The 26,216-nt window shown below is 47.2% G+C and overlaps 1 protein-coding gene across 27 annotated transcripts in view; it reads left to right on the top strand.

Annotated features, from left to right (window-relative positions):
- SLC2A9 (solute carrier family 2 member 9) overlaps nt 1–26,216 on the top strand; it is a 269,246-nt gene that overhangs the window by 147,013 nt on the left and 96,017 nt on the right. For 21 of the 27 annotated variants that reach the window (XM_011513867.4, XM_011513858.2, XM_047415973.1 and 18 more), the window contains 2 exons: nt 2,547–2,648; nt 5,616–5,691. The exons of 1 other annotated variant lie outside the window; for it this stretch is intronic. In XM_011513867.4, coding sequence (XP_011512169.1) covers nt 2,547–2,648; nt 5,616–5,691 — 178 coding nt within the window. 5 more of the 27 variants (XM_011513865.3, XM_047415980.1, XM_011513866.3 and 2 more) reach the window with 4 other exon arrangements.

Genomic DNA, 26,216 nt, shown 5'->3' with positions numbered 1-26,216 from the left:
AATCAGAGAGCCAGGAATGCGGAGGGGGGAGGGGGTGGGGGGGCAGAAAAGTGATCAGTGCCCTTGTTCGGGTCCGGGAGCTGGACCAGGTGAGACACTGGGCTGTTACCAAGTGGTGGCATTGACTGTTTCTAGTTTAATGTCAAGAAAATGTAATGTCACAACAACAGAAAAGATTTTGTAGGTGATCCCAGCTTTGCCACTTACCAGCCATGTGACCCTGGACAAGTTTCCAAAGACTCTGTGCCTCTGTTCTTTTACCTGTAAAATGGAGCAAATAATAGAACCTACTCAAAATTATTGTCAGGATTAAATGAGTTGCTGCATGAAAAGTGCTTAATACAGTGCTTGGCACATAGTAGGTGCTCAGTAAATGATCATTAGCTATTGGTATCTAGACTAACTCCATTATCATCAGAAAAGATGAGAAATTAAGACATGGAAGGGTTAATTAACTTGTTCAAGGCCACACAGCCAGCTACGGGTAAGAGTTGGGACCAGATCCCCAGGGCACTCCTTAGTTAAAATGAATAATATATTTCCTGCCATTTATTGGCAACCTCTTTTGTTCATGAGTCTATTTCAGGCATTGTGAGTTCTTTCGCTTTATCTCACAGCTACCCTGCAAAAATGGTATTATCATTCTCATTTTCCAGGTGGGGAAACTGAGACTTGGAAAAGCTGAATAACCTGTCCTGGGTGCAAAGAAGGCTAAGTGGCAAAGCCAGGAATTCAGCTCAGATGGCCCATCTTCAGGCTTTTGTGCCCCTGGATGTCACCTGTGCTCTGTTCCACTGGGCCAGGTTTCTAGGAGGCCAAGTTTAAAGGCTTGAGTCTGCCCTTCTTCCCTAAGCACCCAGGAGAAAGGCATTTCTGACCAGAAGTCTTGGATGCTTTTAGAGACATGTGGTCATCAGCCAGGCACATTTTCCTCCCAGGCCTCTGACTTTCGGGGCCAGCACCCTCCGTTCCCCTCAACATTCATGCCCAGGTGACTGAGAGGTCCATGGCCCCAGGCAGCACTACATGGCCGGGGTGCTCAGCTGACCCACAGGGCTATGCCCTTCGGACAGGCAGCTGTCACTCACCCCTCAGTGCCGGCTCTGCCCAGCAGAACAACAGCCCATGCTAAGCTTGGGGGAGAACGCCCATTGCCTAGACGGCTTCTCACCTGCCTCCCTCTAAGGAGCAGGGTATGAGGAAAGAGGAACAGGTAGAGGGCACTGGGGTCCCTGCAGCTGGGTTCCATTGTGGAGAAACCCTGAGGCTTTGGGGAAGGATTGCAACTGTTCGTCTCAGTGCTGTGACCTTCGCACTGTCACCTGAAGCTGGCAGGCAGGAGCCATGTGTGCTCTGGCTTCATGGCCCTCAGCAGCGTCACTGCTTCCCCTTGTCCAAGCCAAATGACTGTCGTGATGGGGACCATCCAGCCCCAAAACCTTTTCCCCCACTAATCCCTCTGCCTGACAAGCTCTCCACATCTCTGTCTGCTCCTGCCTCCTCCAGGAAGCCTCGCCTGATTGCCTCATTGAGAAAAGCCATGGATTCTGATTCATTCTGGGCTCAATTTCTGGCCCTCTCTCACCTACTTGCTCTGTGATGTCTGCTGTTATCTCACCTCTCTGACCCTCCGTGTTCTCTTTTTGTGATATGGAGCATGAGAGGAGGATACCTCACATAATCCGAGTACCTAACCTGTGTGTTGAGTGCAGTCTCTTATTTAACACACCCTTCCACTCCAGACACTCTTGTGGAAGGATATTTTGATTCTCTTGTCACAGATAAAGGCCCTGGGGCTTTGGGAAGTGAAGTGACATGCCAAAGTTCGTGCATCTGGAAAATAGTAAAGCCGGAATATAAACCCAGGTTTTCCTGTCTCTGACATTCGGCTACAATTACTCTTTCAGTCATTGGCAGTTGAGGAGCTGTTTCCTGACCAAGTGGACAAGGGGCACAGGGGCCAGCCAGATGGAGGTCAGTGACAGTCCTAGGCCGAGGGAAGCTGGCTTCGAGGACACAGCTTTAGGGACTTCCCCAGGGACTCCCCACATCACATCCCACAATGAAATTGACTTCCCCAGACACAGGCAGACTGGAAAACGACATGGGCTTCTCTGCCTACTCCCACCCCTGTGCCCCGCTGTGGATGCCTACCCCTATGAAACCCACAACATGGAGACACAGAGGAGTCACCTTCCATGCAGGTTGCCTCTGAAGGAGGAGAAGGGCTGTGGTGACCATATCCATCCAGTTCCTTCTCCCAGACTCCCTGTTGGAGGAGTCCACCATAGCAAGGAAGATTCGGAGGAGAGTGCTCGTTATTAATGCTGTAGGTGCTCAAGAATTGTGACTTTCTCTCCCTCGCTTTTTCCTTTCTCATAAAGAGCATTGCTTCAGGGCTGTGGCCATAAAGAAGGTGGCCCAACTGTCTCAGGGTCAAAGCCGGTTTTTAATCATGATGCCATTGCCGGTTCCCAGTGCCACATTCCCCTGTTGTGGTTAGAAATGGAATAATAGCTCTCTCTCTCTCTTTTACCCTGGACTAGGGTTTGGTCATTGAGCACCTGGGACGGAGACCCCTCCTCATTGGTGGCTTTGGGCTCATGGGCCTCTTCTTTGGGACCCTCACCATCACGCTGACCCTGCAGGTGAGACGATGTTCTTGTCACATTTGAGGGAGATAAGCATGGAGCTGACTTCTGGCTTCATCGTTTTGGGGCCTTTGATTTGTGGGTTCATACTTCTACAGAAAACACTTGTGATAAAGCTCTCCCCGGGGACATCTCATCTCTGGAGCTGCTGAGGGTCTCAGTGAAGAGGGTTTGGTGAGGGGTCCTTGGACTGGGAGATGAGAGACCTGACTTCTGGTCCTGTCACTCTCACTGATGAGCCGTGTGATCTTGGGCAAGACACTTTCCATCTCTGAGCCTCAGTTCACCCATCTATGGAATAGAAGAGCTTGCACTAGACAACCTTAAGGTGCTCCTTCCAGCTGTCACCTCCCAGCATGAGTGCCAGGTGCTGCATATCAGCCACTTCCCTAGTTGTCACAATTTTAGGAACAGTGGCTCTGGAGCCAGACAGCCTGTGTGGACCCTGGCTTTTCCTTACTTGTAATGAAACTTTAGCAAGTCAGCTCCTCTCCGGGCCTCATCTCTAAAATGAAACAGTCGTCCCTTCATCCAGGGGTGTTGTGGGATGAAATGAGAAAATGCACTGAAAGCACTTGGAACAAGCACTCAGTGGATGTCCATGAAGGAGGAGGGGTGGCGATGTACTTCATCCTTACAACATCAGTATTTTTTTGTTTTATGGAGATAAGGAAACTGAGGGATAAATATAAATAAATAAGCTTCCCAAGGTTACACCACCAAAAGGTGGCAATTAGATCCCCGGATCCTGGGCTTCTGCCCCCTGCATGGCTCAGGGCAGCTTGCATTAACTGAACACTGCCTCAGTACCTCCAACTCATCTTGGTGCCATGGGAAGCGTGAAGCAAGGTTGCAGCAATTGATTAATCTTTGCATTTTTCAAAAATGCATCTGGAAATTGATAGGTGCACATTTTGATCACCTGTCAAATGTCTTAGTGGCCCAAATGTTTCTAGAAGAAGGCACTGTTAGCATGGTGGTGGCTGATGGGTGCCCTTTGAAGAGGTGGGGCTGGCAAGCACGCTGACCGGCAGGAGGTGGAAGCATTGCCTTCAGGGACAATGTGCTGGCAGATGCAGTTCCTTCCTGACAGCCAGGCCCAAGCTGTCCCAAGCTCCAGCATCTTTACAGTCCTTCAAAGTTCTCAGGAAGCCAGTTAGGCGATGTTCCAGGCCATTGTCTTTCTGAAACTTGTGTCCGAAGTTTAAAAGGAAAGCCTGAAGCCCACAAACCCCATCTAAGCCTCATTTCACAAGGTTTCAGAGCTGTTCTTGGCTTGGCCACCCTTGTCTCCTCCAGTGCCCCACACCCTGCCCCCGGCAGCTCCTCAAGGAACCTGGCAGTTTCCTCTCCTAGGGCTCTTCTGTGCTTGGCTAGCTTCTCCTTGCTCTGGACTCAGGAGGCCTTGGACATTCCTGGACACCTCTTCCTGCAGGAAGCCTCCCCTTGCTTCCAAGTCTGGGTGAGGTGCTCTCTCCTGTGTTCCCATAAGCCCCAAGGGGGAACCCTGTGAGATCACTTATCACATACCATTGACTTTCACTGTTGGCACATGTCTCTCTCCAAATAGACAGTGAGTGAGTTGTGTAGGGCAAGGGCCTGGCATGAACCATATCTGCATTTCCACCTCCCATCCCAGTGCCTGGCACCCAGGGGCAGCTCGGATCAATCAGCTGAATTAGTGAGTGAGTGAGTGACTTGGTACAGAAGCAAGCCATACAGTGTACAAGAGTCCATGAAGCTCCTCTCAACCCCTAAAGCTAATGGATTTGGACATAGAACAAGGGGAAGGAGGGAGTTCCCCATTCCTCTGTCTGCCCTCTGTACCCCTCGCCCTCCACTCCAGACTGTTTGCAGCTTACCCCCCCGCCGATGGTGCCCTCTTAGGATTCTATGCCCTTGTGTATGCTGAACCCCCTACTGGAACCTCTTTCCTTTCCTTTCCCACTGGGCTGACTCTGGCTCAGCCTACAGAGATGAACGCAGGCTCTTACCTTCCCTTCAAGTCAGGTGGCCTCTCCTGGGGCAGCCCTGGCACCCCCACAGATTCAGAACTGGTGACACTGTGTTCTAATGCTCAGCTGTCCAGTCTGCTAGAGCAGGAGCAATCCCAACCAGCACCAAGCCACCCACCCCCCGGATGAGTGACAGCTTCTCCAGACATATTCCATGAAATGAATTAACGCATCTCACACCTTGCAAGATGGCAGGGGTACAAATAAGGTCCTTTATGTAATAATATCAGAACTAAGATAACTTCTTTTAAGCAAAATATAGAAGCCTTTAAAATGTATATGAGGAAACATTCATATATATACATATATATATATATATGTATATATATACTTTAAGTTCTGGGATACATGTGCAGAACGTGCAGGTTTGTTACATAGGTATACATGTGCCATGGTGGTTGGCTGCACCCATCAACCCATCATCTACATTAGGTGTTTCTCCTAATGCTATCCCTCCTCCAGCCCCCCACCCCCCAAAACAGGCCCCAGCATGTGATGTTCCCCTCCCTGTGTCCATGTGTTCTCATTGTTCAACTCCCACTTATGAGTGAGACATGTGGGGTTTGGTTTTCGGTTCTTGTGTCAGTTTGCTGAGAATGATGAACTTTTATAAATGTGATAAAGCTGTGAAAATTGCTCATATTGCCTGATGCCAACTAAGCCCTCAATCAATGTGAGTTATTGATTTATTTACCACTTCCTGTATGCCAGGACTATGTCAAACTCATCACAGGCTTCATCTGATTTCATCATGGCTATAAAATAAGCAGATGGAGTGACCGAAGGGTTATCATTGTTCCCATGTTATAGATGCTGAAGCTGGGGCTTGGGGACATCAAGTGACCTGTCCAAGGTCACACAGATGGATGGAGGAGGAGCTGGGGTGGGAACTCAGGTCCTCCGGTCACACCATCACCTCCTCACCTGACCACTCCCTGTTCTCTCCCAGGACCACGCCCCCTGGGTCCCCTACCTGAGTATCGTGGGCATTCTGGCCATCATCGCCTCTTTCTGCAGTGGGCCAGGTAAGGCACCCCACCCTCCCCACTGCCCCGCCCAGGGACTCATGGCATCACCAAGCTGGGGGGCTCTCCTCATACAGATGGGGAACCCAGAGCCCAGAAGAAGCAAAGCCTGACTGGGGATGTGTGTCTGCTGCCTTTCTTTTGGCCCAATTTAAATGTAGCCGACTGTCTGCAGTCTATCCCACAGAAGGTGAAAGTGGACTCACCTGAAGATGAGTGGGAGATAATTTCCCACCACACAGCAAGAGCAGTTCATACGCGGGAGGGCTCTGATCCAGAGGTGACACTGGTTTGTGTTGAATCAAAGACAACCAAGTCACAGTCTGTGCCTAAGCAGTTACCGTCTATGGTGAAAGATGTGGCAATAATCATGTCTAAGACATATTGTTCATTGATTTTGTGTTATACTTGGCTAAGAACTTGACCTGTGTGAGCTCATTTAAGGCTCAGGACAGTGCCAAAGAAGACAGAGATGGAAGGTGACTTGCATGAGCGAGTAGGTGGAGTGGCCTGACTGCCAGGCCCAGGCCCCAACCACCAGCTTACATGGTAGCTGTGTGAGTGTGCAGCTGGAGTATCCCAGCCTCAGTTTACCTGGGACTCACTTCTAGCCCTGCTGTTTCCTAGCCATGGGTCAGTAGGAGAGACTTCTTCTCTTTGTTAGCCTCAGTTTCCCCATCTGTACAACGACAAGGATGCAATGCAACTGAGGACCCTACCATTCCCTGGCCCTGTGTCCACGTCCAGCAGGGACCTCCAGCAGAGTCCAAGGTCAGACTGAGAAGGGGGGCTCAGGGCAGGGTCTGACACAGCCATGTGCTCTCTCATGGGATGATATTCATGGCTGTTCTTTGGTTGTGTTTCTTGGTGGATGCAAACAGTAAGTTTCTATCAGAACAAAGGGAACTGAACTTCTGTTTCTCCCTTTGTGTTGCTGATTCTCGTAAGCCATTACATTCCAGGTTCTATTGCATTCATGGTGGATGGAAAGTGTCCATTCAGGACATCGGGATATTATAATAAGATGGCAAGGTGGCAAGGTGGGCCATGGAATGGTTGGGGAGGGCATCAGGTGCACATACATGCACACAGCACACACACACACACACACACACACACACACACACACACACACACACACAGTGCTATGAGGGTGGTCAGAACGGCTGCAAGAAAAAGAAAGCAAGCACCTCCCAGGCAGGGCAGCGAATTAGAGGATGAACACACAGCACATGTTGTAGTTTACAGTGGACGCGAGGAGTAAATGTGTTTAGTCTTCCAGGGCATCTGCATCACAACCTCACATCCACATCTTCACATCAGTGCTCTGGAGGTGTCCAGCCTACGGCCCTATGCTAGCCTGGGGACATGCGTGAGCAAACCAGACAGGAGCAGTCTCTGCTCCCAGAGGGGCTTGCCTCTGGTGTGGAAGTCCCCTCTGAGATGTCAGCTGCTCAGTGAGGCCTCTCCTGGCCACTTATTCTAAAACCAGCACACACACATTTACTATATACACTCACACACACATGCACACCTACCCTCTATCTCATCACCCATCATAGCATTGTTCACAGGCATGTTGGTTTCCTGCGTACTCATTTGTTTAATGCAGACATGGGAAGATTTTTCCTGCAAAGGGCCAGGTGTAAATACTTTTATTTCACAGACCATGCATTCTCTATCACAACTACTCACCTCTGCCATGGTAGTGTGGACACAGCCATAGATAACGAGTAAATGAATGGACTGCATGGTTGTGTCCCAGTAAAACTTTATTTACAAAAGCAGGCAGTGGGCTGCATGCGGCCTGTGTGCTGCAGTCTGTCTTTAATGTGTGTCTCCTCCAGGCTAGAAAATAAGCTCCATGAAAGGACCTGGTGTGTGGTTCACAATCTTATCCTGATAACCTAGAACTGTGCTGAAGACATAGTAAGGCTCCACAAGTACTTGTTAGAGAGGGAATAAAATAACTGAGCAAAGGCTGGCAGGGAAGATGTGTGCTTTTGTGAGCAGCGTAACACGGGAGCCTGCCCTGGCAGCAGGGTTTTTCAAAACAAACCTTGGAGGAGAGAAGAAGTGGAGAGAGCAGACCCCTTTTCCTGCAATATCCCTGAGCTCCAGGGAAGAGGCAGCTGGGGCTTAATGATATCAGAAAAATATGAAGGTGGCACTAGCCAATTGCATGGAGCAAAAGGATTAGTCAAGCTAATACCAAGATTCTTTTCAGAGAAAGAACAAATATAAGGTTGAATTCCATTCTTATCAATTTCTCAAGCCTTTATTGAGCACCTGTTGTATGCCAAGCTGGAGGGAGAGGAGAGCAGGGGTAGGCAGGAGGAAGATAAAATAGAACCATATTTTTTTTCATGGGATACATGTTGCTTTTTTATTTTAAGTTCCGGGATACATGTGCAGGACTCGCAGGTTTGTTACATAGGTAAATGTGTGCCATGGTGGTTTGCTGTACTTATCGACAGCAATTAAGGTATTAAGCCCAGCCTGCATTAGCTATTTTTCCTGATACTTTCCCTCCCTCCACTCCCACCCCAGACAGGCCCCAGTGTGTGTTGTTCCCCTTCCTGTGTCCATGTGTTCTCATTATTCAGCTCACACTTATGAGTGAGAACATGTGGTGTTTGGTTTTCTGTTCCTGTGTTAGTTTGCTGAGGATAATGGCTTCCAGCTCCATCCATGTCCCTGCAAAGGACATGATCTTGTTCCTTCTCATGGCTGTGTAGTATTCCGTGGTACATATGTACCACATTTTCTTTATCCAGTCTATCATTGATGAGCATTTGGGTTGATTCTATGTCTTTGCTATTGTGAATAGTGCTGCAATGAATATATGCATGCATGTGTCTTTATAATAGAATGATTTATATTCCTTTGGGTATATACTAAGTAATGGGATTGCTGGGTCAAATGGTATTTCTGAGAACCAGGTTTTTAATACCTTAAAGTCAAAACTGAAGGGTTTGTCTATTATCACATACATTCTCCCACACTTTCCTCCATCCAACAAATACACTGTTGCACAGATGGCCAATGGCTTCTTAATTGCCAACCCTCCAAAAAATGGTCTTGTATCTTCAAGCCCAACTTTACTAATTAAAAAAAAAAACATTTCTAGCCAGGTGTAGTAGTGGAATGTACCTGTAATCTCAGCTATTTAGGAGACTGAGGCAGAAGGCTCACTTGAGCTCAGAATTTTTAGGTTACAATGAGCTATGATGGCAGCATTGCACTCTAGCCAGGGTGCTAGAGAAAAAAAGCCCATCTCTTTTCTAAAAAAATTGTTTAAAAAAGTAACATGCTCCTGAGCAGGCACCTTGAATGTTTCACATGTGCAGTCTGAATTCTGAGTCACTAACAGCATGTATCAGTCAGTGTAACGCTAGCTGCCTAACAAATATGTCTCTGAATGACAGAAGCTTCACACAATAGAAATCCATGTCTCACTCATAGAACCACCCATGGCTAGTGTCCCAGGTAGATGAGCACATGCACCCAGTTTCCTCCTGGGCTGTGGCTCTGCCAACCCCGAGTGTCTCTGGTCTACTGCATCCAGTAGGTGAAAAGGAGAAAGACTGTGCAGAAAGCTTCTTAAGAGCCCTGACCTGGGGTAACACCCTCTTCTCCACTCGTATTCCAGTGGTGATGACAAGTCCCATGGCCAGCCCTGGATGCAGAGTTGGCACTTTTACATCAGCCTCTCCTAAAGTGCCCAGTCCTGGCCTGACATCTAGAAGGTTGTCAGGACGTATTTGCAGGTGGTTTAATCATGACCAGGGAACTCAGATAGAAGGGGCTGAGTAGGCACTAAGCTGTAAGATGTGGACTGGGAGGTGCTGAACCCACAGGGCACCCTTAAAGTGATTGGTTAAACCCAGAAGCAGTGGCTTAGGGCTTCCCAGGCTCTGTCCTGTTCTTTGCCCAGTCCTTGCCGCACTTGCTCAGTTTCCACTCATAATGGCATTCAGCCACTAGCCTTTCTTGAGCATCAACTTTAACTTAGACACTGCACCAGCTGCCTTATATACATCACCCCTACTGTGCAAGATGGGCTTGCAAATTAGGATTACCACTCTCATCTACAAATGAAGAAACTGAAGTCCACAGGGGTTAGGGGCTCCCCTGATAAGAAACAGCTAGTGAGTGTTGGAGCTAGGATGTGAACCCAAGTGTTAAAAATCTATGCTGTTTTCGTTCCACGACAAACATAAGAAATTCACCTCTACACACTACCCTGGACTTTCCATAGCACATTCACATCTGTCCCCAAATCCAGTCTCTGGTAATAACTTTTATTGATCACTTACTCTATTCCAGGCCCTGTTCTAAGTGCTTTAATTTTCACAAAAATACTAGGTGAATATAAGATAATAGAGTCAGATTTTCAAATCTGTGTATGTGTGTGTGTGTGTGTGTGTGTGTAGATAGCTTGCTGTTCTTCTTTGCCACATTAGGATGCATAGTTGTCCAGATTTAACATATGAGGGCTCTAAAAAGGACATACATGCATCACTTCCATGAAAGAAGCTATTTTCTGCATTTTATATTCAGATAATTTTTCAGCTAACACTGACATTTTCCAGCAAGCTAGCCCCATAGCTAAACCTTACCATCTAAGTAGACCAGGTATAGCCCACTAAAAACATTGTGAATATAAGGACTCTCCCTTATTGTTCTGCTAATAAATACCATCATGAGGTTGGGGTAGGAAGTTTATGTGGAGAATGGACACGGCCATTTATTTCCCTGGTTTCTGTCTGTCTGTCCTAGAGGATAGAAGATGGTTTATAGATCAGCTGCTAAATCCTTCCTTCCCAAACTAATCCTTTTTTTTTTTTTTTTTCTTGAGACAGAGTCTCACTCTGTTGCCCAGGCTGGAGTGCAGTGACGCGATCTCAGCTCACTGCAAGCTCCGCCTCCCGGGTTCACGCCATTCTCCTGCCTCAGCCTCCCAAGAAGCTGGGACTGCAGGCGTCCACCATCACGCCTGGCTAATTTTTTTGTATTTTTAGTAGAGATGGGGTTTCACTGTGTTAGCCAGGATGGTCACGATCACCTGACCTCGTGATCCGCCTGCCTCGGCCTCTTATAGATGAAAAAACCAATATTCAGAATGATCCAGTAATTTTTCCCAAATCACATAGCTAAGAGGCAAATGCTAGATTTAAATCTTCACCATCTTGTCCTAGAACCTCAGCTCTTTGCTAAAGATTGAGTGGAATTATGCCCATTTTGAAATTTACTTGCAAGGTTAAAAACTATTCCAAGGAGAAATGGCCTACACAGAGAATTGAGGATAAGGGGAGGGGGCTCCTGCTTTTATCTTCCCAGGATGGGGTTACTCTTGATCCTCATAAATCAGTCCTGTTTGTGTCTATGTGGAAAGAAATACTTTTGTCTTTTGTTTCTAGTTGTCAGATCAGCTTGGCTGAGGATGAATTAAAAGCATGTTGATTTTCATGGTTCCAGCCATTCCTGCTTCAGGTATTATCTCAATGCAGAGGTCAAGAACAATCTTTGGTCTTTGTCTCTTAAATTCAAAGACACCTAAATCATAGCACTTGGTTTTGAAATGAAGTCTGTGCTGACACATGCAGATCTTCACAATTAACTGAGGCGGAACACAACATGGGAATGACTTCAGCGCTGGAGGGAGGTCATCTGGCAGATGAGGAAACCTTCCAGGGGCTGAGATGAATTAGAATTAAGGCATCCCAAGTTTGGAAAAGACCGTAAAGATGTTCTAGTTCAGTCATTTATCAGAAGCTTAAGTCCTAGTCATGGTTTCCCTGCCAGGAATTCCTTCAGCCATGGCTTGATTGCATCTATTGACAGGGAACCCACTGCCTCACAAAACAGGCAATTCAATTGTCCACAGGTCAGATTTGGTCCCTGGCCTAGTTTGTGTGACCCACCAGCAAAGAATGGCTTTTGCATTTTAAAAGGGGGAAAGAAAGAATGCATGCCAGGGACCACATGTGGCCTGAAAAGCCTAATATATTTTCTTTCTAACTTTTTATTTTAAACATGTGTCAACCCCTGCTATAGTTCCTCAGCTCTGAAATTTGGAACTTGGGAGAGGGCTAGCTGGTGAGGTAGGGAAGGAGGAATTTCCAGGCAGTGAGAGCAGCCACTGCCAGAATATAGGAAGAAGTTCATGTCAAACGAACCTTAAATAAACCATCAGAGCCACAGCAGTGGTGCTCAAACATTGCTCAGTCACCTGGGAAGCTTTTAAAGCCCTGGTGCTCAGGCTGCACTGAAGGCCAACCAAGACATAATCTTGGAGGGCTAGGGCCCAGGCTTGGCATTTTCTAACACTGCATGATTCCAAGGTGCAGCCAAGTTCAAGAACCACTGGGCTAGAGCAGTTTTTAAACCCTGGCTGAATATATTACCATCACTTGGTGGCTTAGAAAGAAAACCAAAGCAAACATTGATATTCAGGCCTCATCTGATGACAGCTAAGTGCTCGTCAGGAACCACTCCCCGGAGTGCAGGGTGAGACACAGAGGAGGAGTCAGGAGATAAGCTAGAAGCAAATCTCAGAGCGTCTTGGCTGTTGCACTAAGGATTTGCGGTTTTATGGAACTCACTAGAGGTCTGTTGGGGAGTCTGTGTGCATGAATTTCACAGGGCAGACCTGCAGTGAGAAGAAACTGGAGGCAGAGACACCAGCCAGGGGCCTGGAGCAGCCAGCCCAGGGCAGTTATCTGGGACAGTGCCACCCCTGCAAAGGTGTGGGCATTGCCACTATGATAAGTGCAGGTCATGAGGGCAAGAAAGCTGTATGTTTCATGGTGTGATTTAATGCTTCTCGAGTTATCTTTTTCCATAACAGCTGTTTTCCCAGAAGAAACGGTAAATGTCAGCATTGTATCTGAGTGAAAAGTTGACCTTCTTCCCCACCCATGCACACAAACAAGCCAGATTGGACTCATCTGCATATCTGCCTGAAGTTCTTTGCTAACCAAAAATCACTAAGCTTAGCCTTCTCTGTTTTTTTTTTCCTAAGCCCTCCCAAGACTTTTTGCAATGATCCTGATTCTGTTCCAAGTGTTTGCAACTGTGGCTTTCTTTTGACTGTAGAACATGCTGCATTTCCAGGGCTTTAAATGCTGGGCTCCCCATCAGTGTCTATGGGACTCCCTGGAGGGAAGGCCACCTGCACCTCCCAATCCCAGATCACCTGTCAGCCCCTGCCCTCCGCTTCCTCAATCCATCTTCAACCCCCTGTGTTGACCCAGCACCTGGGCCTCGCTGGCTAGCAATGACTTTAGCCACAAGATGGACCAGGGTTTAGAAGCTTCATTTAAACTCACATTGAGAGTGTACAGTTTAAAGCCTCAGGGAACTTACCTGTCTAAGAAAAGCTGCCACTTAGACCATGAGACCATCTTGCATCTTCCTAAGTGGACAGGGAAGAGCAAGTCCCCAGGGGAGCCACCCGGGAAAGTGTGGCAGGAAGATGCTCAGAGCTGAATGGCAGAGAGACTCATGGGCCTGCTCTCCATGATTAAAGAAGAGGGATGGATCTCCCAGGAGAGGGCCAGGAGGCCGCCTGAGGCAGCTTCTGTGAGGAACAGGTCGATGTAAGAAGACTTGACAAGGAGTTGAAATTAGGTGAAAGCAAAGAAAGAAAACAAGAGAGGCAGTTTCCTGCTGCATATTTTATTTGTGTGCATAACCCCAAGGCAGTGGCAGGGAAGTCTAATAAATGAGGCAAAATAAAAGAGCTTCACCTTTTAAAAAAAGAAGATCGTTGCCAAAATGTGTCAATTCCAGTTTTAAAAATCACATGAAGCCCTGACTCTGTGCCTGGCACCAAGTTAAGTCCTCTATGGGGAGTTTGTGTTTAAATGGAGTGGACAGATGCAAACAAGATGGAGCGGTAAGGCCACTGCCATTATCAAGGTGCGAATTAAGGTCTGAGCACCCCAGAAGATGGAGCGGTCCTGATGGAAGATGCCTCAGCACATACCTTGCTTGGAAAAAGGACCCCTCTGGAAAGACTGCAGGGGCGTATCAGCATTTGACAGAACCTATGTGGTCGTCTCTGCCTGCCCTGCCTGCCCTCCCTCTCTATCCCGCATTCTCCCTGCACTGCAGCCATCTGGAGCCACAGGCAGCTGCCCCCTGCCCCACACGCACAAACACACACACACACACACATACACACATAAATACACACACACACACACGCTTCATGGTCTCAGCCTTTGCATGTGCTATTTCCCCTCTTGCAACAACCACCCTTATTCATCCATTTGAGGTGTGGCTTCTCATCTTCAAAAAGTCAGCTCATACTGCATCTTGAGACTTTCTTAGAAACAGCCCGCCCCTCTGGGCTCCCACAGCCCCCTAGATTAACTCCTAGTGTATCCCCACCCCCACCCCATTACAATGGCCATGGTTGGTCAGTCCTCCTAACATCAGGGACTGCTTCAAAGACAAGAACCTTGTTTCTATCACCTGTATCCAAACACACAGCCTGACAGTGGGTCAGCACTCAATAAATGCTTGTATTTTTCATGAATTCATTCAAAACATACTCATTAAGTTCCTACTGTGTGGTGTGTGGTGTTTTCTACCACCACAGCTCACACCAAATGTGTGTGTGTATTTTGACACCAAACACATGTTTTCCACACCACCTCTTCAATTTGTCTCCACCAACAACTGGGTGTCCAACAATTCAGCTCAATTCTGACACTGCCTCCCCAGAGTGTCAGAAAGAGTTAAAGGGTTCAATCCCACAAGACTGCCCTCACTTCAGACACCAACCAAAAACAGAGTCCCAGGGAGCCGGCACTTCTGCTCTGCTGACTACAAATTCAGGGGTTCCCAAGGCTACCCTCAGGTTTGATAATTATTTGCTAGCATGACTCCCAGAACTCAGGAAAGTGCCCTACTTACAATTACAGCTTTATTATAGAGGCTGCAACTCAGAAACAGCCAAGTGGAAGAGAGGCATACAGAAGGTATGGGGGTGCATCACGGGGCATGGAGCTTTCATGCCCTCTGTGGATACACCAGCCTCCCAGCACTTCAGTGCGTTTACCAACTGGGAAACACCTCAACCCCATCATTTAGACGTTTCTATGGAGGCTCCATTATATAGGCATGATTGATTCCATCACTGGCCACTGGTGACTGAACTCAGCCTGCAGCCCCTCTCCCTTCCTTAGAGGCTGGAAGATGGAGCTGAAGGTTCCAACCCTCCAAGCATGGCCAGCGCTGCCTTGAAACCATCTAATGACCCACCTGAGTCACCACATTAGGGGTTCATTATAAATGACAAAAGCCACTCTTGTTACTCCAGAAATCCCAAGGCTTTTAAGAAATCTGGGCCAAAAACTAGGGACAAAAATCAAATATATATATATTGCAATTTTATATATATATATATGTGTGTGTGTGTTATGCCACAGTGCCAGCCCTGGGCTGGGAGTTGAAGATAAAAGGATGAGCAAGACAGTGTCTCTACCCCCACAGAGGAAGAGGAGAGGGACAGGGCACAGTTGAGAATGACCACTATAGACATTCTATAGGAGGAAGGGGGCTGGCACTCTCAACTGCATTGGCTGCTGGCCCCGGCTGACCCCGAGGAGGAAACCCTCCTGCAAACAGTGTTGAGAATCCCAGCCAGGCTCTTAGGATTGCACACAGCAGGTGTGCCCCAACAGGAGCCTGGTGAGATCCAGAAGGGGTAAAGGCTGTGTCCAGCAGACCCAGAAGAGCCTGGGACAGGAAGATGGCAGGAGCATCAGATAACATAAAGAGTCAAAGCCACCCACTTGTATGACATTATCTCAATGCCAGGCCTGCACCTGCAACATCTGGAAAGAAGAAACCATGAAACATCCTGGCCCTGCCCTGCAAGTGAAAGGGCTCAGTCCTTTAACTCCTCCTATGCTGGAGGAGCCCACAGAAGAGACAGACCTGGGAATGAATAAGTATTGCTTACTGGATTTACAGGAGGCAGGAGAGGGAAAAAAGAAGGAACCCATGTGTGTCAAATGCCTGGGATTCGTCCAAACATTGTTCATACATGATCCCTTTCAATTCTCTCATGCCAGCAAGGTTGAATCCATGATCTCAAAAGAGGCAAGGTGGAGTCCAGACTCAACCCTAGATATGTCTGCCTCTGAATCTCCTGCCAGGGGGGCAGGCACTACCCCAAGTTGGGTGGGAGGGCTCTGTGCACCAGCCTGCACTGCCCCAAGAGGGAGCTCAGCCAGCAGACAGCAAGGTCTCCCTGCCTGGGATGGGGTGCTTAGGCAGGTACGGGCACATTCTTACTTGTTGAATGAATAAACAAGTGAATGAACAAATAATAGATGAAAGAAAGAACCCTATCCGTGGCCTTGGCCTCACCCCAATTACCTTAAGTATCCCAGCACTTTAGGGGGAGTCGAATCAGATGTCTCCTTTCCCCTCAAAAGTTAGGGAATTGTGTGCAAAGCAGAATGACAAATTGCTTTCTAATCCTCCGGACCAAGCAGAAAGTATTGCATAGAAGGAATAAATATATGCACATTAAAATAACTATAGCTATAAGTTAAGAGACATAATGACACCAACTTGGCATATAGTCATAATTTTTGAAAAACTGTTTAATGAAAATTAAATGGAAATGTCTCACAAATCTAGACTTAAAACTAAATAGTAGCCATTGCTCAGGACACATCAATGTCTCTAAAATGAATTCGTACAGAAGGTGAGAATTAACTCCAGCATTGGTGCTAGTCCCTGTCTAGAAACAAAGACTCAGACTCCACACCCATTACCACACAGGCTTTTAGGGAAGGGACTTAAAAGATGAGCTATCTAAAACTACCCTGTGAACTCTAAACTATTATATAAATGTGAAATTTCATCCAGGTCCAGCAGGAATCAGGGAATCAGGAGATACAGTCAAGAGGGTTTTATTTGTTTGTTTGCTTGTTTGTTTGTTTGTTTTAGAGATAGGGTCTCGCTCTGTCACCCAGGCTGAAGTGCAGTGGTGTGATCATGACTCACTGCAGCCTCCACCTCCTGGACTCAGGCTATCCTCCCACCTCAGCCTCCTGAGTAGCTGGGACAAGTGCATGCCACCATACCTGGCTACTTTTTAAATTTTTTTGTGGGGATAGAGTCTTGCTATGTTTCCCAACCTGGTCTGGAACTCCTGGGCTCAAGTTATCCTCCCACCTTGGCCTCCCAAAGTGCTGAGATTACAAGCATGCACTGCCAGGATTTTAAAAGCAGTTCTGTGAATGGACTATTTATAGCCCTGTGGGTAGGGATAGGGAACCAGAGAGAGATGGAGGCCCCTTGGGACGAACAACAGTGGGAAGCTTCAACCACCTCAGGGGTAAACTAATTTTCATTAAATTTCTCCATAACAGAAGAATATAAACACTAAGAAGTAAGATTTCATCAGGTAGGGCTAAGCTTTTGCAGCTCTGCAAACCATTGTGATATTTAAGACTTCTTGCCACCTCCCAAGAACCAGTTCTCACCCCTGTCGACAAAGCATGGCAGAGATTCATTTCCGCTTTTATCAAAAACTATTTTGAGATTCTGAGAACCAAACAGGCAAATTCAACAATGTGATGTGCTCTTGCCTATGGCTTTGTTTGGTGCCCCATGTCAGACCCCACACTCTGATGTCCTTTTACAGGGCAATGCCCAGTGCCAATGGAGGTTAAGTCAATAACATTGTAATTAGTCCTTCAGCCCTGGGAGCACAAAGAGGAATAAGAAATGTCCCAATCAGGAGCTTGGAGTTCAGTTTCCAAGTAAAGAAGAGGAAGAAGTAGTCATTGGCTTTGTCACTGGGGGGAAAAGGGGAGGTGGATAGAGGAAGTTGAGACTCAGAGCGGTTAAGAGCTTTACCTGGATTACACAGCAGTGAACCACAATTCCACTTCCTATCAGTTTGACTCCAGAGCCAGAGTTCTTAAGGTCTACAATAGGCAACTAAGCTAAAGGCAGGTCCCAGGTACTAAGGGAGCACAGAGGAGATGTGTGTCTGGGTGAATGGATGTCAGGTTACCTAGAGGAGGTACAACTTAGACTGATTTCTAAATATCGAGTCAGAGCAAGCAGAGCCACCAAGTATGGGTTCTCAGGGTGTGCACTGCACAAGAAGACATTTCTAAAGACACAGCATCCCATCTGAGACAGACGCTAACCTATGGCCATTTCTAAAGACACAGCATCCCATCTTAGACAGAGAGTAACCTATGGCCATTTCTAAAGACACAGCATCCCATCTTAGACAGAGAGTAACCTATGGCCATTTCTAAAGACACAGCATCCCATCTTAGACAGAGAGTAACCTATGGCCATTTCTAAAGACACAGCATCCCATCTTAGACAGATGCTAACCTATGGCCATTTCTAAAGACACAGCATCCCATCTTAGACACTAACCTATGGCCATTTCTAAAGACACAGCATCCCATCTTAGACAGAGAGTAACCTATGGCCATTTCTAAAGACACAGCATCCCATCTTAGACAGACGCTAACCTATGGCCATTTCTAAAGACACAGCATCCCATCTTAGACAGACGCTAACCTATGGCCATTTCTAAAGACACAGCATCCCATCTTAGACAGACGCTAACCTATGGCCATTTCTAAAGACACAGCATCCCATCTTAGACAGACGCTAACCTATGGCCATTTCTAAAGACACAGCGTCCCACATTAGACAGACACTAACTTATGGCCATTTCTAAAGACACAGCGTCCCACATTAGACAGACACTAACTTATGGCCATTTCTAAAGACACAGCATCCCACCTTAGACACTAACCTGTGAGAACATGGGTGCCGATGTGGGGATGTGAGGTCTCCCAGCCAGGTTCTGACACAACAGGACTGCACCATCTCCTACATCAACTCACAAGCAAAACAGTCATGCACACAGCTGGGATTACACAACATCCACATATACTGATTCACACACATGCACATACACACATGTGCACTCCGTTCTCCAGATGGCCTCTGAGCTTCCTTTCTAGCCCACTCTCAGAGGCCTGATTCTCATCCTCTGCGCGGTTCCAAAACTGGCATGGTGCTCCACTTTGTGGGAAGGGCACAGAGCTTAGGTGTACACTGGCTCACGGGTGGGGTAAGCAGACAGCTGTGGGGGTACACATGTGCATCTGCAGGGCTGCTGCCATCAGAGAGGGCATCTGGAGAACTCCCCTGGCAAGGCTGGGCCTGGCCACAGGGTGTGATCATTCTGTTTATTCAATAATGTACTAACTTGTAAAATATTTTATTTGAGAAAGGGGCATTTTTTTTTAATAGCAAAAGTGCCATTTGAGCTAGAAGTGGACCTGGAGGTAGCCAGCTAAAGGGAAAAGGAGGAATGTCTGAGTAGAGGACAGACATCAGAGAGGATGCTAATGGAAGCCTAGGACACATGTAAAACTGGAGAGACGCTCTGGAGTAAAAGGGCCTCAGGGGACATCAGGGTGCAGGGAAAGTGGTGGCCAGATCATCGTGGGCCTCACAGGCTGAAATAATTAAACTTTGTCCTTGTGGAAGTGGGCAGCCACCAAAGAATTTTGAGCTGGGACATAGCATTATCACACTGGTGTTTAAAAAGTCTGCAGAGGAGGGAATAAACCAGAGGTAAAATGTGGAATATGGGAGAGGCTTGGGAAGAGTGAATTCAGAAAGATCACTAAGGAATTTGTATCGGTTAGCTATGACTGTGTAACAAATAACCGCCAAGCCTCATGGATTAAACAACAACCAGTTATTATTGCTCGCAAGAGTTAGTCAGTGTGGCAGTTTTGCTCTTCTGGCCCAGGCTTCTTTGATCTCAGCTAGATGATTTCCTCCTATCTACATCCAGCTGGCAGGTCATCTGGGCACCAGCTAGTCCAAAGTAGCCTCACTCATTGGTCTGGCACTGAGAAGGGTAACTTGACCACATGTCCATCACTGTCCCACAGACTAGACCAGGTTTGTTTATATGATGGTGGCAAAGTTGCAAGAAAAGAAGGGGAAGTGTGCAAAACTGCCTGAGGCCTGGGCTTGGAACTCCACACTATTTCTGCTGCATTCTATCAGCCAAAGCAAGTCACAAAGCCCGCCCAGATTCAAGGGATGGGGAAAGACTTTCCCTCCCATTGGAGGGGCTGCAAAGAACTGTGGCTATTCTACAATTGCCTGGAGGCAGTAACTGTAGAATAGGCAAGAGATGAGAATTATGGGCTTTCCTTCACTTACCCCCATTCCACAAATAATCACTGAGAGCCTACTAGAAAGTGGGCCTCCTTCTAGGCCTGGAGATGCAGTGGAGGAGCAAACACACAAACACACACACTCACATGCATGTGCACACACATAGAGTCTCTGCCCTTAGGGATCTTACCTTCAATAACAGTCATGGGTCAGGGTCCCCACTGGGAACATATGGTACACTCAAACTGGAGTATTCTGAGGAATGTTCAATAAGGACACAAATTGCTATGGTGCAAAAAGGCTATAGGGGAATGTTGAAGACCTTGACCATTCCAGCAGTCTCAACATATTATGGTCATTTCCAAGGGTCCACCCCTCTAGCTGTTAGCTGTGAAGAAAACAAAGCAACTTAATGAAAGTTAATTCATCAAAAGTCAATGCACTGAGAGGTCACATTGCTGAAAGTCAAATCATAGAGAAACACAATTTGCTGGATTTACCTTATCTCTTTTAACTATTTATGAACAATGTACATTTTTGTGCATAGAATGGAATGGTTCTAACAGCTTTGATCAGTTTCTAAGTTCTTCATCATGTCTGCGTAGTGAATTCTGTAGAATGTTTTTTTTGTTGTTGTTCCTTCTGCTTCAGTTCCCTGTTGTTATAGCTGGAGGTTAGTAAACAGAGAGAAGCCTCAGCCAAGTGGCATAAAATATACTTTTATCCACAAAAAGAATATATATATCTTTCCCTTTCCAAATCCATTTTATTCCAGAAATTTATGCATACAACAGGAAATAGGATTTGGATAGCAAGCGATATAGCAACACATTTATCGAATTTATTCATTCAAGCGTTTGGAAAACAGGAGTCTGGATAGCAAAGGTTCAGATAGTGAGAGGGATTCCTGCACATTCACAGACTGGGTTTCTTTTGTTAACATATTTTTATTCAAAAATGCATTTACCAGTCTTTGCTTTTTGATGAATTGACCTTGAGCTGACAATGTGACTTTCATTCATGGCATTTCTGAGCCCTCATTCCTGGCCAGGACACAGAGGTACCACATCCCACTGCACCCTGCCCCAACTCACAGGAGAGATGGTCTGGGATGCTCTTGGAATTTTGCTGTGACTTTCCCAAAATCTACAGTAAGTTGGACAAGTCCCTGTCCCTCTCTGGCCTCAGTTTCACCATCAGTGAAATGAGGGGATGAACCAGATTAAGGGCTCTCTAACTACATGGCTGCACTTCAGAACCCCCTTCCCTGGGGAAACATCCCCCACCCGGGTCCCTGGATGAGGAGGGACCTCATCCAGGTTCTGCTGAGGAGGCCTAGGGACAGCATTTCCACATATTTCCTGAATGATTCCTCAGCAGCCATCCCAGCCCAAGCCACTTTCCTGAGCATGGAAGCCTCCAGAATTGGTGGCCAGATCTACCAACCTTGTGGCTGTGCAATTCACCTCATTCAATCCTCATGGCAGCCCAGGAGACAGACCATCTTATTCCCACTTTGCACATGAAGGGCTGAGTTTCTGAGAGGTCATAACTCATAGGTTTTATGGGGCAGGTGCCCCTGAAGTCAGTGGGTTGGCAGTGTTTGTGCTCTTAGCTACTGTAATGGGTTGAGTAGTATCCCCCAAAGATTCTTGTTCTCTCAGAACCTCAGAATGTGACCTTGGTTAGAAATAAGGTCATTGCAGATTACTCAGTTAAGGATCGCAAGATGAAGCCATCCTGGATTTAGGGTGGCCCCTAAATTCAATGTCTGGTGTCCGTATAAGACAAGGAGAGGACACAGGGAAGAGAAGGGCATATGAAGGTGGAGGCAGAGATTAGAGCGAGCGATGCATCTAGAATCAAAGGAACACCAAGGATTGCCAGCAGCACCAGAAGCCAGGAGAGAGGCGTGGATGGTTTCTCCCTCAGAGTCTGCAGAGAGAACCAACTCTGCCAACACCTTGATTTTAGACTTCTGCCTCTAGAACAATGACAGAATAAATTTCTGTTCTCCTAAGACCCCATGTTTGTGGTGATTTGTGACAGAAGCCCTAGAAAACGAATATAGCCACTAAGTTGGCAGGAAAGTATTTCCTAATCCTCTACATAGCTGTAGATGCAGGGTACCAGGGCTTTGGAAATGAGTGATTTCCACCATCTGACTCTTAATGCCAAACAATGGTGAGTGGGCAAGCTGCCTGCCAAGGTTATGGTGCACTTTCTGCTTTTTCAAGAAGACCAGGGAACTTTTAAAATTAATAATATTATCTTCCAAGCCAGGCACAGTGGCTTGCACTTATAATCCTAATGCTTTGGGAGGCCAAGATAGGAAGATCTCTTGAGTCCAGGAGTTGAAGGTTGCAATGAGCTAAGATTACACCAATGTACTGCAACTGGGGTGACACAGCAAGACCCCACACACCCCCCAAAAAAATCTTCCTAAGTTAAGCACTTGGTCAGCGCTAGATACTTGGCCACACTCACCCTAATCCTTACAAAGTCTCCGCAAGGAGACCCTCCTCTCCCCATGAGGACACCACAGCTCCAGGGAGCCCTGCTTGGGCCACATCTCATGGCACATAGTTTAGGTGGCCCAGCCAGGATTTGAACGCATGCCTGCCCAACTCCAAAGTCTCCTTTTTCCAGCCGTTCTCCCTTGCATTTTCACATGTTCGGTTTTAGTACTTATCACTTTCCCGCAGCCTATGGCAGAGTTAATTAGTGAGCTTATCGCCTGAAACTTGAATGCGAAAACGTGGCAGTGTTCCTTATGATTTTTTGCCAAAACCCTCCAGAAAACCTCTCCCCTCAGAAGCAGTCCAAGCAAATGCTGCTCTGAGAAAGATTTTGAGCCCTTCAAAGTTTTGGTGCGTATGCTGGGGTTTTCAACAGAAATGTAGAAAACCTCAAAACTGGCTCTGCAGTCCTTGAAATCAGTGACACCTGTCAGGCTCATAGGTCTTTCTCGTGGTTTCTGTCAGCAGCTGTCTTCCTCTTCACTGTCACTTGGGCAATCCCTGGGAATCCAGCTGAGGAATTTGTCACTTAATTATTCCTTGCAGCTGCTGAGATGGTGAGAACACAGTCCTCTGTTGGGCTGTATCCATTTCCTGTGGCTGCTGTGACAAAGTTCCACAAATGACAGCAATGTGTTCTCCCACAGTTCTGAGGCCAGAAGGCAGAGATCGAGGCTTCAGTAGGGATGCAGTGCCCCTGCAGAGGCTCTGAGGGGAGTCCCTTCCACACGCCTCTCCTGGCCTCTGGCAGCTGCCAGTGCTCCTTGGCTTGTGGCCACATCACTACACAGTCTCTGCCTCCACCTTCACAGGCCTTCCCCTATGTGTGCATCCCAAAACTCCATCTTCCACACTCTTACAAGGACATGTGTGATTGCATTTAGGACCCAGGTCCTCCTCTCAACATCCTTAACCTAATCATATGTTTGCCATTTGAGTAATATTTGCACACTCCAGGATGAGGACATGGATGTATATTTGTGGGGCCACCACTCAGCCCACTGCACTGGACTAGAGATAAGCATCTGTTTTCTCATATGCTTTGATAAACACTTTGGCCTCCTCTACCAAAAACAGTTCATTCAAGTTAGATCCTAGTCTATTGGACACCTACTTACTGTCTGCCAGTCACTGTGCTAGGTCTAAGCTACAGAGATGAGCAGAGGACAGCCACCAGACCCTTGGGAGAAAGATTGGCGTAAAATCAAATAAGAGTAATAATTGACATATTGCCAAGCCATCCCATCTGCCTGGTGTGTCAGATAAGAGTCCCAGAGCAGGAAATGGTTGGCCGTGGTCTAGCAAGGTGAGCAGGGAGGAGTTCACTGGGCAAATGTGAGGAGGGGGCATTGTAAGAGGAAGGAGGAGCACAGGAGCCCAGGGCCAGAGGCAGGAGACTGACACTGTGCCTGGAATTGGGAACCAGCAGCTGGTGAAAGTGCAAAGGTAGACAGAAATTAGAACACAGAAGGCCTTAATGTGTAGAACTGCCCTGAAGCCAGTGGGAAGCTACTGTTGGGTTTTAAGCAGGAGGCATGGACTGACCAGGTTTGCATGTGAGAATTGATTCTAGAAGCTGGGTGGAGACGGAGGTTGATGCTGAGACCTGAGGCTGGAGACCACTCCCCCGTTCCATCCACTTCTCAGCCTCCGTTTTCTCTGTGGAAAAGTCCAGATCCCGACTTATACTGTCTCTGTCTTACGGATTAGTGTGAGAGTCAAATGAGATCATTATTGCCAATAGGCTCTGTCAATACATAGAATTTAGTTGACCATTTTCATTGTCTTCACTTGTGGGTTAAATAAACACTAAAATAAAAACATCAGGGAGCCTGGCTGAGCAGGGAATAACCTCTTGGAGGAAGGAAAACATTCCCCTTTATATGTCAGCAACTTTGACCCTAGAGGGAATCAGAACCCATGCCTTTGGGGGGTGTTCCTGCAGACACAGAGCTGTTCTCCCCCTGGGAACCTCACCACTGCTCAAAATGTAATGCAAACATGAACTGACTTAGTTATCTCAATGTTCAAACTTGAAAAAAAATAAACATTATGTTCCAAAATCTTCAGCATTCGTCACAAAATTGCTGAGGGGAGAAGTTCTGCTCTGGGCTTATGAAGCGCTCAGTTAATCCCACAGGTATGGGGGTTCCTGGGGTGACAGAGGGAGAGCTTCAAGCTGGCTGTCAGCTCCACAGACAATTCACTTCTCATATCCCCTATATATGAGCTCCTCAACAGGTGACAACTGGGGTGCAGAGGACTCTAGGGACTTTCTTGTTTAGTTTATGCCATTTTATGAAGGTGCAGGTACCCAATTGAAATAAATGGGTGGATAGCATTTCCCCTTCAGGGTAGTAAACAATTCTGGGGAAGAAGCCCTGGTTAGCTGGATGCTTTAAAGTCAAGGGCTTTCCAGCCAGGCAGGAGTTGATTATTATCAGGTCACCTGGCTTCTAATTACATGATGGGCCACCTGCCCAAGGGAGTTTATGGGAACAGCTGCCTGCCCTGCCACAGTGGACTAGTGAAGGCACCAGGCTGCACTGCCAGGCGACTCTGAGGTCAGAACACTCCTGAGCCCCTCCTCTGGGCATGGCCCCATCAGAGATGAGTGGCGCTCTGGTAAGGGAGACAGATGGAACTTGACTAATGCCCACCAGAACAGACCGCTTTCTCCAGCAGGAACATAGCAGAGGGCTTGGAGGACAACAGAGGAGGGCATGGGACTATCCCGGGTCAGGCGCAAATCCACCACTTGGGGATCTTTCAGCTCCAAGGCTGACAGAGGCTAAAGACACGCCTGGTGGAGAAGTCAGCATGGGCAGAATTGCCGAGGTGTGACTGTGCAAGGCACGTTCTCAGAGGCCTGTAATTGAGTGTGTCTGGGCAGTGCATTCCAGGGCCTCGGGTGGGGGGGGCACGCATGTGAGTTGCATGTGTGAATTCACTCCCACCAGTTCACAGAATGGGATCAGCATGCAGAGGCTTAATGTTTAGTCCCCTGCATAGGGGGGCAGTCCATTAGATCTCAGGAATATTATTTCAACCCCTACATCGTTTTAAGCAGTTGATCATTAGCCCATCTCTCTCCCAGGCAGTCAGGCAGTCAGACCTCCATCCACGGTGTCCCCAGCTCTCAGGGGGTAGTGTGAGTCCCTCTTCCCAGGCTTGGGTTGAGTGAGGCTCCCCTGTACTCCCCATGATGGGGCGAGGGAAAGGGGCTTATGGCTTAGCAATAGCCGCCCGTCTATCTCTACAGAAATCTTCCCTGCTTCTCCGCTTTCTCTTCCATTCCTAATGTCAAAATAATCATCATCATCTTCTTCATCATTATCATCATTATCACCAATACTATTTATTGAGTACTTATTATGGGCCAAGCATGGAATTAAGTACTTTACCTGCATTATCTCCTTTCACAAGAAACTCAAGAGTTAGTTGAGAAAGAAAGGGAGACATTCTACTCCAGCCGCCTCAGCTGACATGAGAAACCCACATGGCTGCAGAGAGTGCAGGCTGGGTTGGGGAGCGGAACCAGGCCTTGAAGGAAACACTGCGTCTACTTTCTTTCTTCTTTAGCAGCTTTAATTACCAAGCTCTTATGGAAGCTGAGGGAATTGGCATTAACTCTGTTTCAATTTGTACTTTTGCAAATGAGATGTAGTTACATGACAATGATTCACTTCTGTGAGGTGTCAAAAATAAACTGCTAGGATGGAAAAGTGCCCATTGCATTCACACGCTGCCCATTGTTTTTCTGTTAAACTGAGGAAAGGCAAGATTCACGCTGACAAA

The sequence above is a fragment of the Homo sapiens genome, chromosome 4 (assembly GCF_000001405.40).
Source record: "Homo sapiens chromosome 4, GRCh38.p14 Primary Assembly".
Classification (NCBI taxonomy): domain Eukaryota; kingdom Metazoa; phylum Chordata; class Mammalia; order Primates; family Hominidae; genus Homo; species Homo sapiens.
The sequence above is the reverse complement of the archived record's forward strand: the minus strand, read 5'-3'. Positions and strand labels throughout refer to the sequence as shown.